This window comes from Homo sapiens, chromosome 10 (assembly GCF_000001405.40).
Source record: "Homo sapiens chromosome 10, GRCh38.p14 Primary Assembly".
In the NCBI taxonomy this organism is placed as follows: domain Eukaryota; kingdom Metazoa; phylum Chordata; class Mammalia; order Primates; family Hominidae; genus Homo; species Homo sapiens.
The window spans coordinates 112,889,940-112,907,880 of NC_000010.11; the positions used below are offsets into that span (position 1 = coordinate 112,889,940).

Sequence of the window (17,941 nt, forward strand, 5' to 3'; positions counted from 1 at the left end):
AGGGCTTTGGCACAAATTGGAAAAAGGTACCGCCTTTGGATAGACAAATTAGAAAAAGGTATCTCTTCTAGACAGAAGACTGCAGCAGAGTGCAGGGCTTGGAAAGAGTACTTCTAGCAGGAATTTAATTGCCATTTGTCCCCTTAGGCAGCACTTTGTGCAGTGCACAGACTGGACAATGGTATGTGGCAGCCCTGAGTAGAGACTCCCTAATCAGCCCCCACTAACTAACTCTGATCCATTGGCTGCTCTTCCTGGCCTCTGTAAAACATCCTAGGGCATGCGTGTCCATAGCCATCTGAATGCTCAGGATTGGTGCATTTCATACTCTCTAGTATTTCCATGCACCTCTGCTTCCCCAGCTGAGTTTAATGTTTACCATGAACCCACCAGATTAGTGGTTTGGGTATACCCAAACCTGCTTATACCACGACATTGCCATGAACTAATTTAACAGAAAAGTATGGCAGCCAATGAAATAGGAAGAAGCAAAGAGAGCATAGTGGTATCTATGAAAACTAAAAGCATACTTTGGAATTATAAAGGCAAGTTGCTAAAAAAAAATCCTTAAAATTAAGGAATTATTTGGGGGTAATAGAAATGCATTGTAGCTTGATTGTGTTTCACAGCTGTATAAGACTGTATCCAACTGTTTAATGACATTGAATTATGTGTTGTAACTAGATGCAGTTGATTATATGTAAATTATTCCTCCATAAAGTTGATAGGAAAAATACTAAGTGCAAGTGAGACAGAATAAAAGATAGGAGAAGAAACATAAAACTCCCAAAGAGGCTTGCAATCTGATTGTTCTTCAGGTGTCTTTAAGATCTGGCTTCACCTTAAGAAAACCACAACTGGAAATTGTAAATGATGTGCATTTGGCTTAGGCAAGAAAGAGAAGCCGGAACTCCAAAGACCAAACCCATTCCTTTAAGAAAAGCCTTGGTTCTACATCAAAAGATTGGTAAAGAAAATGTATACTTACCATGTTTAAATTTTGTTTGTTTCGTTTTGTTTTTGTAGATGGAGTCTCGCTCTGTCACCCAGACTGGAGTGCAGTGGCGTGATCTCAGCTCACTGCAACCTCTGCCTCATGGGTTCAAGCGATTCTCGTGCCTCAGCCTCCCCAGGTAGGTGGGATTACAGGCACGTCACCATGCCCGGCTAATTTTTGTATTCTTAGTAGAGACAGGGTTTCACCATGTTGGCCAGGCTGGTCTCGAATGCCTGGCTTCAAGTGATCTGCTTGCCTCAGCCTCCCAAAGTGCTAGGATTACAGGCATAAACCACCATGCCCAGCCACCACGTTTAAATTTTTAAAAGCATTTAGAGTATATGCATATGAATTGTTTTATAAAGTTTCTCCATTTTAACTGATTTTTTTGTGATGAACTGCCAACTTATACCCTGACCCCATCACACAACAAGCCTTCCACAGTGGTCTAGTCATCCTGAAAATCCCGGAAATCATCCTTAAAGGGTGTGGTACTGCCATATCGCAACAAATCCAGCACAACCTATTTTTCCTTTTTTTCTCAAGGGAAACGGTTGCTCTTTCTTCAGTTGAGCCTGTGTGTGTGAGGGTTGCTCTTTCTTCAGTTGCGCCTGTGTGTGTGTGTGAGGGCCACAAAATGCTGGCTCCCACCCTCAGTGTAGGAGCCATGGCTGAGAGGTGCATCCTATGGGAGGCCCTTCCAGAACACAGGCTTTCCCAGGGAAATGCCAGGTGCTACACCATTTACATTGTTCTGTGTGTGTGTGGCCATGTAGCTGAGTTTCTTATAACTTAAATTTTTATATGCTGGGATTCTGCCATATATCCACTTATATACAGCAGTTCATTCTGTATCACTTCTATTACTTCTACCAACTCCAGAGCCACATGCTGTAACGGGCTCTCCCGCTTAGAATCACTAAGCATTAGCAATAGGAGTGTGGTCAATGAGATTATCATCCCAGTCCTTCCTTCTTTAGCATTATAATCCCCCTCTCATTGCTTCACCAGAGCACAGAACTTCTCTGTCCCTAAACATTGGGCTTGGCCGCTGATGTGGCCATGCAGACATGACAGGAGTTGTGGGCTAGCAGGAACAGACATAGACATGGAAATATGCATGCTGTGATGAATGACGCTGGCTTTATTCTGTGGGCAATGGTGAGCCATGAACAGTTTAGGGTTTCCAGCAGCATTACTGTGATTATGACATTGAGCAAACTTTCGCTCAGCTGTCAGAGAATTGGGTAAGACAGGTACTGTAATTTTTTTTTTTAGGACAGAAATGGGTTTGTGCATTTGGCTTGCTGTCTTTTCTTTCTGCCATATGCCATGAAAAGAGCATGCCCTAAGAAACCATTAAAGGAAGTTAAGAGACACAGGGAGAAAACCTCGACCTACCCTACTGTCTGAAATGAAGCCCAGTCAATCCATACCCTAAGACAGTGCTGCCTCAGCCAACTCATATAACCACGAGCTGGAAATGTATGCATTTTTGTTGTATGCAACTGAGACTTAGGAGCCTTTTGTTATGCAGCATTGTGGAATAAAAACCTAACTGATACAAAGGGGAAATGAAAGAGTTTCTAGTCCAACCCACTGATTTTGTAGCTAAAATTATTTACTCTGTAATATATATATTGCTTAGACAGTTTCTGGTCTCAGTTCCATCATCTGTGAAATGAAAATACCATACCTGGCCAGGCACAGTGGCTCACACCTGTAATCCCAGCACTTTGGGAGGCTGAGGCAGGTGGATCACCTGAGGTTGGGAGTTTGAGACCAGCCTGGCCAACATGGGGAAACCGTCTGTACTAAAAATACAAAAATTAGCTGGGCAAGATGGTACACGCCTGTAATCCCAGTTACTCGAGAGGCTGAGGCAGGAGAATCGCTTGAACCCAGGAGGTGGAGGTTGTATGAACCAAGATCATGCCACTGCACTCCAGCCTGGGTGACAGAGTGAGACTCCATCTCAAAAACAAAAAACAAAAAATACTATACCTGTCTTAACCAACTCTGATAGCTGTGCAAAAGTTTGCTCAGTGTCATAATCAAAATAATGCTGCTGGAAACCCTAAACTCTTCATGGCTCACCATTGCCCATAGAATAAAGCCAGTGTCATTCATCACAGCATGCAAATCTCCATGCCTATGTCTGTTCCTGCTGGCCTGTAACCACTTTGTTTGTCCCCACACTCACACTCTGTTGCTGCCATTTGAATTATTTGCCATTTCCCAAACTGTCTCTGATCTTCTCTCCATGGTTTTTCTCTCATTGGTCTCTTCCCTAACAAAGCCTTTCCCTGCCATCTCACCTTTTGGAAACCTTCATGGTGTAACTTAGATATCACATTCTCCAAATGGCTTCCCTAATCCCTTTAGCTGAAATTAAGACATATTTCCTTCTGGATGCTTAATATATTTTACCTGCATTATAGGCATTGGGGCCAAGTCCATCAGCCACACTGAGTAAGAACAAGCTTTATGATTCCAGGGATCAGTGTTTGTTCATTTGCATCTCCCAAGGACCCTAGTCTATGAAGCACTGTGTCTGCTCAATGTGTGTTGATAATCAGATATCTTAGCTTCAAGAAGCACAGTCACTGTAGCACACTATGGTGGTGTATTTCTTCCATGTTCTAGTGTCCTCCACAGTAGATAAGCAATGGTACTGACCCACACGTGGATGATGAACTGAATAGCTGCCATTATTGAGCACTTATTCTGGGACAGGATCTGCATTAGCATACTGCACATTTTGTCTAATTTAAATCTCTCCACAGCCCTCTTGGTTGTCTCCAGGATTTGTTTCATTTAACAGATGAGATACGGCAAGGACTGTTATGCATCGTCCTTTTCTTCCTGAGCACCCAGCTAGAGCACACTTCCCAGATTCCCTTGTGGTTAGGTGAAACCATGTGACTGGTTCTGCCCAGTAGAATCCGAGGGGAAGTAGCATGTGCCATTTCCAACCCAGGCCCATAAAAACCTCCCCTGCAAAGCTCCTCGCTCCTGTTCTGCCAGTAGATGTAGAGGATCCAGCTAATGACCTTGAGGTCTAGAGGATGGTGGAGCCACCAAATGCAAAGAGCTTGGGTTCATGACACCTTCCAGAGGAGGTCACCTGCTGAGTACTCCTGTATTGAGCTGTAATATGATCATGAATTCAATTTCTATTGTGTTTAGCCATGGAGATTTTAGTATTTTTACTTGCAGCTGTTACATGAGGAAACTGAGGTTCAGTTTAAATGACTTTAGGCTGATTATATAATAAGTTAGTCAGAGAGGGCTATGATTTAACCCAAACCTAGCTGTCTCTGATTCCTGTGATTCTAATTACTACAATATACTGCCTCTTTGCTAAGGGAAAAAAAAAAAAAAAAGCAAGCAAATGAAAACAAACTCCCTATGGGGGCAAACTCAGGATTTTCCAAACTGTGACTCCCCCTGGCTCTGGAATGTTGTACCCAGCAGAGTTTTGTGAGATTGCTGAATAGTTGCCTACTTTAAGGGAGTGGGGAGGCAGAGGGGAATGATGTGTGTTGATTCCCCACACACGCCAGGCACTTTACATACATGTTATTTCCCTTCACAGTAACCCCTGGGACAGTATTAATGCCACTAATTTCCCCATTAAGGGGGAAAAAGATGTGTCAGTTGAGGGGTAACTGTTAAAAATGCATACCGCCAAAAGATGAATTTCGGGCTCTGGTTGAGTTGGATTGAGGCTCTTTGTTTTTGGGGTTTGGCAAGGCTCTGAGAAGCTAAGCAACTTGCTCGTGTTTCTGTGGTGAGGAAGCCACAACACTGAGATTTGAATTTATCTCCCTCTGATTCCAAGTCTAGTGCTGCTTCTTTTCATTACCACCTCAAGGAAGATATCATTTCAGGGTCCGTTTCTTTTATTCCTTCACTAATTGATTCATTTAATCTTTATTGAGTGCCTACTATGGGCCAGGCACTCTGCTGGTCTCCAGGGATCAGGGCCAGAAAGAGGGTGAGGCAGGAAGGGCACCCAAGGCACGGCATCTAAGGAGGCACTGGCTCTCAGGCACTCACCCTGAACTCCCACAGTCCTGAAGGTGAGCACCTTTTTAAAGTTTGTGCCATAGGCACTCGGTTGACCCCACCCTAGTCCCATCCCTGAAGGAGTAGTGAGCAAACCAGACCTGCACTCTGCCCTCAGAGAGCTGACACTTCAGTAGCAGACATGCAAGCTAAGGAGATTCCAGTTACCACAGCAGATCACCCACAGCTTCCTCCTAGAAAACCACCATCACCTTATTATGCTCACAGAGTCTATGGTCAAGAGCTCAGACAGGCCCAGAGGGCATGGCTTGTCTCTGTTCCACATGTTTCGGGAATCGGCTAGAAGATGTGCAACTTAGGGGTGATGAGGACAAGTGGGATCAACTGGAATCACCTGGAGCTTCATCACTCATGCATGTGGCATCTGGACTGTGATGAGTGGAGAGTCAGGCTAAGCTGGGACTGTGCAGTGGAGCACTGCATGTGGCCTCCCCAGGTGGCCCCAGCTTCTCACAGCCTAGTGGCTGTGTCCCCAGGGGACACATTTTGAAAGGGAGCACTGAGAGAATGAGGGGCAGAGTCACAAGGTTTCATTTATATCTCGTACCCAATTGGTCAAAGCAGTCACTAGTCTGCCCAGGTCCAAGAGGAGGGGACAAAGCCCCACATTTCGGTGGAAGGAATATCAAAGTATTGGTGACCATTTTTAAAATCATCACAATGACCAAAAAATAAAAAAATTTAAAAAAAGAATGAATAATTCTTCTACAGAGGAAATGAACTATGAAAGTGTGTAGCAGAGAACTGAACTGGTAATAGTAATATGCTTCGTTCATCCAACCACATTTATTGAGCACCTACAAGGAATCAGGCGGTCAGCAGAGGGACTAGAATAATAGATGCTCATATAGGGGAGGAACAGTTCTGCCTGGGAAGGCAGCGCAGGTCTGCCTTGCTTTTGTCTGTCTTTGTATGCAGCCATAGAGGTGGTGCTGATCCATTACATGAACTGGTTCAAATGTGTGTGTGAATTGTGTCCTGAGCTCCTCTCTGTGCTTGTCTTGGGGAGGAGTTGAGGGTGACAAAGAAGGAGCAGTTCTTGACCCTGAGAACTTGGAGTTTGTGCTGTCAGTATCATCACCACCATCATTATTATCAGGAACACACTGCAATGGATACCTTGATATCCATAACAATCCCTTGCATTTCTGAAGTGTTATTGGTCAGGGTTCTCCAGAGAAATAGAACCAGTAGGAGATACAGACATGAATGGATGGCTAGAGAGATGATAGATAGGTAGAGAGATAGATGATAGATAGATAGATAGATAGATAGATAGATAGATAGATAGATAGATAGAGGAAGCGATTTATTGTGGGACTTGGCACATATAATTATGGAAGTCAAGAAGTCCCACAATCTGCTGTCTGCAAGCTAGAGAATCAGGAAAGCTGGTGATGTCACTTGGTCTGAGTCCAAAGGTCTGAGAGTCAGACAGCTAATGTGTAAGTCCTGGTCTGAGTCCGAAAGTCCGAAAACAAAGAGCTCCAATGTCCAAGGGCAGGAGAAGTTTGATGGCCCAGCTCAAGAAGAGAGTGATATCCCTTCTTCTGCCTTTTTGTTCTATTCAGGCCATGTATTACATGATGCCATCTTCTTTACTCAGTCTACTGATTCAAATAGTCAAGCTTTTTGGAAACACTTTCACAGACACTCCTAGAAATAATGTTTTACAAGCTATCTGGGTATCCCTTAGCCCAGTCACGTTGACACATAAAATTAACCATCTCGTGAAGGGATTGTGGGTTCCAAAGCTCATTCACACTCCTTAGCTCACATGAAGCTCATCTCCAACCTCCAGGGCAGGAGGGTAAGCATCCCCCACACTCCCATTTTACAGATGCAGAAACTGAGCTCAGAGAGTTTAAACCAAGGGCATCCCCCAGATGGGAGAGCTAAGCATGGCCTCCAGACTCTGCACTGGCCCGTGCCTGGAGGGTTTTTTTTTAATTCTCCAGTTTTAACATCACCAATCATCAGAAAAATGCAAATTAAAACCACAATGAGATATCATCTTACACCAATCAGAATGGCTATGATTAAGAAGACAAAAAATAACAGAGGTTGGCAAAGACGCAGAGAAAAGGGAACGTTTATACCCTGACAGTGGGAATGTAAATTAATACAACCTCTATGAAAAATAATATGCAGATTTCTCAGAGAACTAAAAAAATAACAACCATTCCATCCAGCAATCCCACTACTGGGTATCTCCTCAAAGGAAAAGAAATCATTATATCAAAATGATACCTGCACTCTTCTGTTTATCACAGCACTATTCACAATAAGAAAGATACAGAATCAACGTAAGTGTCCATCAACAGAGGACTGGATTTTTTTTTAACGTGATATTATATACAGTATATATATATATCGTGTATATATATACACGTTATATATGTATATATACATGTATGTATATATGTCATTATATATACATGTATATATATCATGTTATATATATCATGTATATATATCATGTTATATATATATCACATATATATGATATATGATATATATATACACACACACAGTGGAATACTACTCAGCCATAAAGAAGGAATGAAATCCTGTCTTTTGCAGCAACATGGATGGCTTATTATCTTAAGTGAAATAAGCCAGGCACAGACAAATACCACATGCTGTCACTCATAAATGGGAGCTAAACAATGTGTACCCATGGAAGGAGAGTGTGGAATGATGGACAATGGGGACTCAGAGAGGTGGAGGGGGTGGGAGTGGATGGATGCTGGGAGGTTGCTTGGTGGGTGCAATGTGCATTGCTCCAATGATGGAGGTACTGAAGGCACTCACTTCACCACAATGCAATATGTCAATGTAGCAAAACTGCACTTGTACCCCATTAATATATACAAATAATTTTTTTAATTAAAAACTTCTTTAGTTCCTTTTCTACCAAATTCCTGTGTCTTCCTGCCATCTGTCAATCCTGACTTCCCTTTAGGGCCATCCATTTAGAAATAAACAGATAAGGCCAGGCATGGTGGCTCATGCCTGTAATACCAACACTTTGGGAGGCTAAGGCGGGTTGATTACCTGAGGTCAGGAGTTCGAGACCAGACTAGCCAACATGGTGAAACCCCATCTCTATTAAAAATACAAAAATTAGTTAGGCGTGGTGGCACATGCCCGTGATCCCAGCTACTTGGGAGGCGGAGGCAAGAGAATCGCTTGAACCCGGGAGGCGGAGATTGCCCTTCAGCGTAGGTGACAAGAGCGAAACTCCATCTCAGAAGAAAAAAAGAAAAAGAAAGCAATGGATAAAGTCACTGAGCACCCCTGTGCCAGGTACCATGCAAAGCACTCACACGTGCTAGCTCAGGTCATCTTCCCAACACTCTACAAGTGAGGTAGAATTATTATCGTCTTCACCTTACAGATAGGGATAAACAGCTTAGGAAGTGACAGTGACTTTCTCAAGGTCACAGAGCAAGTAAGTAAGCTGTGGAGAAGAAACTGACCCCCCATCAGTCTGACTTGAAACCAACTTGGGTACTGCTGCCCATGGATGCCCCTTCTCCACCCCAGCTCTTGCCGTGGGAGCCTTTGTCCCCAAAATGCTGGACTGAGATGGACGCTCAGTGACCCGGATTAGGGTGCTCTGCCCTTGCCTAGGATGAGGTGAATATTCACTATCATGACCAGCTTGGGGAAATCGGGCCTCGCTGACGTCATCAATTATGCATGGTCCTGGGCTAAGCCCTTGCGCTGTGGGACTTGGGGAAAGGTGCTTCCAGGGAGAGGGCAGCAGCGCGTTGAGTCACTTGCCTCTTGTTTAACTCTTTCCCTGCTGCCTCGACTCTGGAGGCGGGGTTTGGGCCTGGGGTTCCGTTTTGGGCGTCTCTGACAGGGCTTGTGTAGAGTAAGCCGGGTTTCCACCCCAGTCCGCTCCCTCCACTTCAGGCCTCATTAGTGCCCGCAGCTCGGATTTACACAGATGTAAATCTGGCCATTAGCACCTCACGCTCTGGCAAGGAGGTGTGGCCAAAGGGAATTTAAGGGCAGCAGGGGGTGGGGGTGGGGAGCAAACTTTGAGCCCAACTTAATGTTTAACTTCTCGGACAATGGGATTGTCAGGCTTCCCCATCTCTATTCCAGGCAGTTTCTTGGGGAAAGGGTCGATAAATACCCACAGATAACAGACGACGCTGGGTGGGTGGCAGGAAATGGATCGCTAAATTATACATCAGATGCAAGGTAGCTAGGTCGGGCCAATGGGAAGCAACTTCTCCAGGGAAAAGCTTCCAGAGCCCCCAGTTCTCTCCCTAACCACACTTTAGCTTTCCTTTGTCTGGAAAGAGAAGCCACTAAATGCCTCTTACCCCAGTGTTAACTCTTTGTTAGGAGGGAATCTGAAGGGAAGATAATTCCAGGAGCGGGGAAGAATGAGAAAGAGAGAAAGAGAAACAGACCCATTTCTGGTAAATAATTAACACCAAAAAATGTTTCCCTAAAAAAAAAATGCCCAGCAGAACTTTCAACTTCTCCAATTTGGGAAGTCAAAAGTTTAACTGGGCGCCAGGCGGCTGATGCCAAGACAGGCCTCCAGCTATGTAACACTGGCCATGCCTGAGCTTGGCTCTGGACCTCTCCTTCCTGAGGAGATGTGGCATCTGGGTGACAGCAGTAGAGGGCCTCTAGCTTTCTTCCGGAGCCGCAGGCAGGGAGGCAGAAGCCTGGGGTCTGTCATCCTGGGTGTTTGGAATCCCCCCACAGGGCTTCACAGAAGCACAAGTATGTCATCAGGCTGATCTCAAGTCGAGACATAAGTAGCATCAGTTTGGGAATCACACCTGGGTCTCCATTCCGGCTTGGTAGTTACCTGCTGTGTGACTTCACACAGTTACTTAACCTCTCTGAACCAGTTTACTTAGCTATAAAATGGAGTCAACAAAACTGCTTTGGGAGAGTTGTTGCCAGGATTAGACACAGTACATGTCAGGGGTCAGCAAACTATGGCGTGTGGGCCAAATCTAGCAGGTGCCTGTTTTTGTCTCTTTATATAAAGTTTTTAAAACAGCCACCCCCTTTGAATGACTGATTGTCCATGGCTGTTTGCATGCTACAACAGTGGAGCTGAGTAGCAGAGGCCCTGCAGCTCTCAAAGCCTAAGGTATTTACCTGTTAGACCTTTGCAGAAAATGTGGCTGACCCTGGGATATGTAAAGATGTAGCTTGGTGCTTCAGAAAAGTTCAAAATGTGGAGGAAGCAGTGGTTAGTGTCATTAATATCATCCCAGGCTATTCCACATCTTGTCCTTCATTCTTTAATCTGGAAAGTGTGACTCTTGCGTCCCTTGTGTATTTTGCTACTCATAGATCCTGCCTCCACTCACACTCTAAGTGCTGGTAATTACATTTGGGACAGGGGCTTTTCTATGCTCCTGAGTGTGCAGGAGATGCTAATGACAGCACCTCTTGCCCTTGTTAGGACTAGACAGGCCTCCACCCTAGGTGACAACCTATCTTTGACCCCTACTCTTCTCACCAGCCTACCCAGTCCACCTCCAAGGTCTGTGGACTTTTTTTTTTTTTTTTTTGAGACAGAGTCTTGGTCTTGTCTCCCAGGCTGGAGTGCAATAGTGCAATCTCGGCTCCCTGCAACCTCTGCCTCCCAGGCTCAAGCAATTCTCCTGCCTCAGCCTCCCAAGTAGGTGGGATTACAGACACCCACCATCTTGCCCGGCTAATTTTTTTTTCTTTTTCTTTTTTTGTATTTTTAGTGGAGATGGGGTTTCACCATGTTGGGCAGGCTGGTCTCGAACTCCTGACCTCAGGTGATCCGCCCACCTCAGCCTCCCAAAGTGCTAGGAATAGAGGCATGAGCCACTGTGCCCGGCTGGTGTGTGGACTTTAACTCCTTCACTGGGCTTAAGTGATTGGTGTCACAGAAGGAAAATGAGTTTTGGCATTAAACACGCTAGCATTTGTTTTTGGTTTTGCTTTTATTTCTTTATTTGAAATAGGGTCTCCCTCTGTCACCCAGACTGGAGTGCAGTAGCGTGATTGCAGCTTACCGCAGCCTCAACCTCCCAGGCTTCAGTGACCCTCCCACCTCAGCCGCCCAAGTAGCTGGGACTACAGGCAGGAGCCACCATGCTTGGCCAATTTTTGTATTTTTGTAGAGACAGTGTTTTACCATGTTGCCCAGGCTGGTCTCAAACTGCTGGGCTCAAGCGCTCCATCTGCCTTGGCCTCCCAAAGTGCTGGAAATACAGGCGTAAGCCACCGCACCCGGCCTAGACCTGCATTTGAATCCCAGTTTGGCTCCTTCTCCTCTCAGCAAGACCCTGGGCAGGTATGACCTTGATCAAACACGCCCCATATTCCCCTGGCTCACCTTCAAGGTCACCCGCCATTCCCTGTGCCTGCTGACAGTCTCCACCCTCAAGTGCCCAGGGTCTCCCCTTGGTTCCAAGAGAACTTGCTCAATCTTGAGTAGGGCAAGCAGAGTGCCCTAGATTTAACCCCTCCAGAGAAGGCATCCCCCAAAGAGGGCCAGAGGCTGTTGGCTAAGCATCTCAGCTTCCTCGTCCCTTTGGGGACAAGAGATGACACAAAGCACTGGTTCCTCGGAAGGCCCCCAGCAGGATGAAGCCTCAGTTGTCCATAACAGCACCTGCAATGTCTCTTCCTTCCCTGCTCCCTTACTGGTGCTTCCTGGGATCGCCTCCTGAATAAACTACCTGCTCCCAAATCCTCCCAAATGCTAAGCTCTATAAGCCTCAGTTTTCCCAATGGTAAAAGGGGTCTGGCAACATCCACCTCATAGGGTTGTTAATGAGTGAGACTATGTAATAATCCTTGCAGTGGAAAAATCCAGAGGTGCATCTGCTCTCTCCCTGAGCCCTTGTCTACTATGTGCTCTATGGAATGAGGTGGGTGTTTATGAAGTCTCATAATGTCATGACCACCATGGGTTAGTAGCCAGTGCACAAAGGCTAAGGTTTGGAGAATATGAGTTATATGCTTGCATCAGTACTTAGGTTCTTACTGGGGCTCCCGTGACAAATGAAAAATGGCTACTATAGAAAAGAAAGGAAATGGAAGTCTCCATCTTGGTGAGAAGACAAATACACTATTCATTTGTCAGAAAGATTTCAGGTCCTTTCAGAAGTAGCATGAAAGAGCAGAGAGTTTGAATCTTGGCCCCACCACCTAAAATAGCTGTGTAAATGTGAACAATTTACTTGATCTTGCTGAGCCTGTTTTCTGTATTGCAAAATTGTAATGAGAATTTAAATAATATCAGTAACCCCTTTGAGTAGAGGCAGTTCTATTGTGGGTAAGAAACGAATGATACGGTCTTTGCTTTCCAAGATCTTAGAATCTCACTGGGAGATAGGGCCAGGCAGGTGGCTCACACCTGTAATCCCAGCACCTTGGAAGGCCAAGGCGGGCGGATCACTTGAGGTCAGGAGTTTGAGACCAGCCTGGGCAACATAGTGAAACCCCTGTCTCTTCTAAAAATACAACAATTAGCCAGGCATGGTGGTGTGCACCTGTAATCCCAGTTACTAGGGAGGCTGAGGCAGGAGAATTGCTTGAACCCGCGAGGCAGAGGTTGCAGTGAGTTGAGATCATGCCACTGCACTCCAGCCTGGGCGACATGGCAAGACTCCATTTAAAAAAAAAAAAAAAGAATCTCATTGGGAGATAAGATCAGACACAGGAATAGCAGAAGCAGAGCATGACTGGATCCTTGGCCAGCAATATTTACTGAGCACCTACTATGCACTAGACATTGAAATGCAGGTGCTTGCTAGAAGTGGTCACAGGAGACTCTCCCTCTACCAGTATTCATCTTATAAGCCACCTTTCCTTCCTTCCTTCCTTCCTTCCTTCCTTCCTTCCTTCCTTCTTTCTTTTCTTCCTTCCTTCCCTTCTTTCCTTCTTCTTCCCTCCCTCCTTTCCTTCCTTTTCCTCTTCCTCCCTGTCTCCCTCCTTCCCTTCCTTCCTCACTTCTGTCTTCTCTTTCTTTTTCTCTTCTTTTCACCCATATTGTTTCATTCCTTCCTCTCTAAATCTGTTTTTCCCTCCTTCTCTGTCAGCACCATAGACCTCCAACCAGCGATGTTACTTGATCTCAGGGGAGCTGCAGGTCCAGACAATCCCAAGCCCTGGAGATCCCATCCATCCTTCAGGGTAAACTGGGAGCATCTTCTTCCACCCCCAGAGTATTTGAATTTGAATGGAAGGAGGAGCATCATAATCACTGAATGCATCAAATATCTCTGAGTCCCATTATATGTAAGGTTCTCTACAAATAGCAGTACGCTGGAACCAGCTCATACTAGCTTCTAGGAAACAATTATTAAGTTTTCAGGATTTTTTTCTTAAATTTATTCATTATTATTATTATTATTATTTGAGACAGAGTCTTGCTCTGTCAACCAGGCTGGAGTGCAATGGCGGGATCTCAGCTCACTGCAACCTCCACCTCCCAGGGTCAAGGGATTCTCCTGCCTTAGACTCCCAAGTAGCTGGGGTTACAGGCACACGCCACCACACCCGGCTAATTTTTTTGTATTTTTAGTAGAAATGGGGTTTCACCATGTTGGCCAGGCTGCTCTCAAGCTCCTGACCACAGGTGATCCACCTGCCTCAGCTTCCCAAAGTAGTGGGATTACAGGCGTGAGCCACTGTACCCGGCCTTTTAATTTATTTTTTATTTTTTGAGACAGTTTTCCTCTGTCATCCAGGCTGGAGTGCAATGGCACACTCTCAGCCCACTGCAACCCTTGCCTCCTGGGCTCAAGCAAATCTCATGCCTCAGCCTCCCGAGTAGCTGGGATTGCAGTCATGCACCACCATGCCTGGATAATTTTTGTATTTTTTAGTAGAGACAGGGTTCCACCATGTTGGCCAGGCTGGTCTCAAACTCCTGGCCTCAAGTGATCTGCCCACCTCAGCCTCCCAAAGTGCTGAGATTACAGGTATGAGCTATCATGGCCAGCAAGTTTTCAGGAATTTCTGAAGTGGCTGATGTCACATTGGTAGCTTGAAGTCAGCCATGATGGGACTATTTACACTACCGAAATTGGCAACTGCTACAAATCAGAAATGTATTTCCTCAGAGAGCCAGTTGTTAAACATTTACCAGCACACCACTGCATAAAATATAGGTTATACAAGAGAGACAGAGATGTGTAGAAACACACCCTGCCTTCAAGGAGCTACATAGGAGGTGAGATGATAACGATGTTGAGAATGTTGCTGATTTATAGCCAGGAAATGAAAGTTCAAGTTTCAGCTGAGTCACCCAGGGCAGGTCATTTTCTTTCTCTGGAACTCAGATTTCTGTTAAATGGGAATTATGGTAATATCTCCCTGCCTTTTTCACTGGGTTTTTGGGGAATTCACCAAAAATGATACACATGAAAGAAAACCCATTGGGGCCAGGCGCGATGGTTCATGCCTGTAATCCCAGCACTTTGAAAGGCTGAGGCGGGTGAATCACATGAGGTCAGGAGTTTGAGACCAGCCTAGCCAACATGGTGAAACCCCATCTCTACTAAAAATACAAAAAAATAACCAGGTGTAGTGGCATGCATCTGTAATCCCAGCTACTCAGGAGGCTGAGGCACAGGAATCGCTTGAACCTGGGAGGGAGAGGTTGCAGTGAGCTGAGATGGCACCACTGCACTCCAGACTGGGCAACAGAGTGAGACTGTGCCAAAAAAAAAAAAAAAAAAAAAAAGGCGGGGGGGGGTGGGTGTGGAATTATGTAACATCTCTCTGCCTTTCTCACTGGGTTATTAGGGAATTCACCAAAAATGATACATATGAAAGAAATCCCATTGGGATCTATACTGAGCTGTTCCAATCATAGAAACATCCAGAAGGAACAAGACTTCACCTGAGTGCCCCCAAGAAGGGATTTAACTACACACAGGACCACCCTGATGAACTATTAGAAGCCAAGAGAAGCAAAAATTGAGTTTTATGTCCCCTGGTTAGACTAGAAGCAGCTTGACAGCCGGGCCCTGTCTGCTATTTCTTTGTGCCCTTCACCAAGTATAACACAGGATTGTGATCCTAAGGAATAAACAGGTGGTTCAGGGAGGAGGCCTGGGGGCACCTGTGGTGAGTCTACCCGCAAAGGCTGTGCTATGAATGGAGGCAGAGATAGTTCTGTCTTTTCCAATCTACTGCAAAGAGGCTGTTGGGGCTGTGTGCAGGTATCTGAATGATGAAATGGAATGTCCTTGATGGATAAGGAGCAATAACTATTGCAAGCACATGACTTGGATTGGGATCTTTTTTAAAAATGTTAATCTAGGCTGGGTGCGGTGGCTCACGCCTGTAATCCCAGCACTTTGGGAGGCCAAGGCGGGCAGATCACGAGGTCAGGAGATCGAGACCATCCTGGCCAACATGGTGAAACCCCGTCTCTACTAAAAATACAAAAATTAGCTAGGCGTGGTGGCAGGCACCTGAAGTCCCAGCTACTTGGGAGGCTGAGACAGGAGAATCGCCTGAACCCAGGAGGTGGAGGTTGCAGTGAGCCGAGATCGTGCCACTGCACTCCAGCCTGGCGACACAGTGAGATTCTGTCTCAAAATAAAAAATAAAAAATTGTTAACCTAAAGAACAAGGTAAGGGTGACTCGCTTTGTACCCTGGGGGCTTCTCCTTGGGCAACTGGTGGAGCATCATCCTGAAGGTTTCCTCGTCAGCCAGTTGTCCCACTCACATTCTCCCAGCATCCCAGCCTTACCTCCTGCACCCTCCCTGTTATTCTTCCTCCCTCCATGACAGTCCAAGGCATTTACACTTGGAGCCACCCACTCTGTGCGTAATTATAGGAAAGTATTTGTATCTTTTTCTCTAATGATTTAATGGTCTGTCTTCCCAACCACACTGTAAAACCCTGGAGGGCATAGAATATTGTCAATTGTATCTGTTTCTCGTGTGCTTCTTATTAGTACCCTGGAAGTGCTCAGTACATCATATGAGCCAGAGTGCTGGCCAGGAATGAGACCACGCTTTGCCTGTTGGTCACCGCATCTCCAGGGAACTCAGAGGCATCTCCAGGAAACACCTGAATATGTGAGCTGGTTCCTTACAACAGTCCAATGAAGCAGAGGTGTGAGCAGATCCTTTTTACAGCTAAGGAAACTGAGGCACAAAGAGGTTGACAGCACACTTGCCCCAAAGCGCAGGTAAGCAGCAAAGCCAGAATGCAAAGTTTGGTCTATCTTAAAAACCCATGCTCTAGACTGGGCACAGTGGCTCACACCTATAATCCCAGCACTTTGTCAGGCCAAGGTGGGCGGATCACAAGGTCAGGAGTTTGAGACCAGCCTGACCAACATGGTGAAACCCCGTCTCTACCACAAATACAAAAATTAGCCGGGCGTGGTGGCATGTGCTTGTAGTCCCAGCTACTTGGGAGGCTGAGGCAGGAGAATCACTTGAACCCAGGAGGCGGAGGTTGTAATGAGCCGAGATCGCGCCACTGCACTCCAGCCTGGGTGACAGAGTGAGACTCTGTCTCAAAACAAACAAACAAACCCGTGGTCTTAACAACTATGTTATTAGGCAACACTGAGGAAAAGCTGTGAGTTTACTGAGTGAGTAGTACTATGGTGTTATCCCAACTTAGCCAATTGAAGAACCGAGGCAGTCAGTGGTTAAGACAACCTGCCCACGTTGTTGCAGGCACCCGGGACCTGCTGGGAAGGTCTTGGATGGTAGATCTCTGCAGAGAGTGTGAACTGCCAAGGGCTGCTGGGTCTAGAAGAGAGGGCCTGGAAGGTGTTGGAGTCTCGGATGAACAGCTCTCTAGTAAGGGCAGACAAGATGATGGTAGAAAGACTTTAGGCTCTGAAGGGTGCCTCCGTCCTCTTTGTAGGTTTGCCCTTAAACCCAGTGTGACTCGGTGCAAACCTCCATTTCAGGTCTGTTTTCCTTTCTTCCTTCCCTTTTGCTCATCCTCGTGCAGAGCCCAGGGTATTTTTGGTGTTTTGTTTTTTCACTTTCCCTCCTGCACTGTGTGACTGCGGCAGAATGTTCCGGGAACATCTAGTTAGAGATCACTTCGTGTGCTCCAAGGCCTGGGGACATGCTGTCCTCCTGGCCAGGCGGCCGCCAGGAACTGTTAATATGGCAGCAGCACTGGCCTCCCGGGGCTAAGGAGGCACTGAATGGGCCTGGCTCAGTCCCTCAGGACTACCCTGGAGGCTCTGTAGGCAGACCAGACACCAGGGTTACGTGGGGACTGCAAAACCCAGAGCAGGGGCCAAAGCTGAGATGAAGGCCAAAGCTCTGCCTTCAGATTCCACTTCTTCCCCAGCCAAAGTCAGCCCTGGGCTTCTCCTCAGCCTTCAGAAACAGCCACTGAGGCTCGACCAACTCTGGTGGCCTAGAACGTCTCAATCTGGTCCTCCTTGCAAGTGGCACTCTGCAGACCCACCAAGCTGGCATTCAGAGCTGCATTCCCAATAGAGACACCTCTCATCTCTTGATATTTCTAACCTGCCAGGCACTGTGCCAAGTACTTCCTATATAAGATTGCCAGATAAGGCTGGATGTGCTGGTTCATGCCTGTAATCCCAGCACTTTGGGAGGCCGAGGTGGGCGGATCACCTGAGGTCAGGAGTTCGAGACCAGCCTGACCAACGTGGAGAAACCGTGTCTCTACTAAAAAATAAAAATCAGCCGGGCATGGTGGCACATGCCTGTAATCCCAGCTACTCAGGAGACTGAGGCAGGAGAATCTCTGGAACCCAGGAAGTGGAGGTTACAGCGAACTGAGATAGCACCATTGCACTCCAGCCTGGGCAACAAGAGCGAGACTCTCTCTCAAAAAAAAAAAAAAAAACAGTTG

At 46.2% G+C, this 17,941-nt stretch overlaps 1 long non-coding RNA gene across 1 annotated transcript in view, besides 2 other annotated features; it reads left to right on the forward strand.

Moving 5' to 3' along the window:
* Window positions 1-1,092: 1,092 nt before the first annotated feature.
* LINC02935 (long intergenic non-protein coding RNA 2935) overlaps window positions 1,093-17,941 on the forward strand; it is a 36,907-nt gene continuing 20,058 nt past the window's right edge. The window contains exons 1-2 of the long non-coding RNA XR_001747706.2: window positions 1,093-1,133; window positions 16,038-16,274. This is a non-coding gene — a long non-coding RNA (long intergenic non-protein coding RNA 2935). The remainder of the gene's footprint in view (window positions 1,134-16,037; window positions 16,275-17,941) is intronic.
* Window positions 8,925-9,737: an enhancer, noted in NCBI's record as "OCT4-NANOG-H3K27ac-H3K4me1 hESC enhancer chr10:114658623-114659435 (GRCh37/hg19 assembly coordinates)". NCBI's record gives its function as "activates a minimal SCP1, AML or CMV promoter by ChIP-STARR-seq in naive H9 embryonic stem cells {active_cell/tissue: H9 hESC(naive)}" and the evidence as "EXISTENCE:reporter gene assay evidence [ECO:0000049][PMID:30033119]".
* Window positions 11,325-11,825: an enhancer, noted in NCBI's record as "H3K4me1 hESC enhancer chr10:114661023-114661523 (GRCh37/hg19 assembly coordinates)". NCBI's record gives its function as "activates a minimal SCP1, AML or CMV promoter by ChIP-STARR-seq in naive and primed H9 embryonic stem cells {active_cell/tissue: H9 hESC(naive and primed)}" and the evidence as "EXISTENCE:reporter gene assay evidence [ECO:0000049][PMID:30033119]".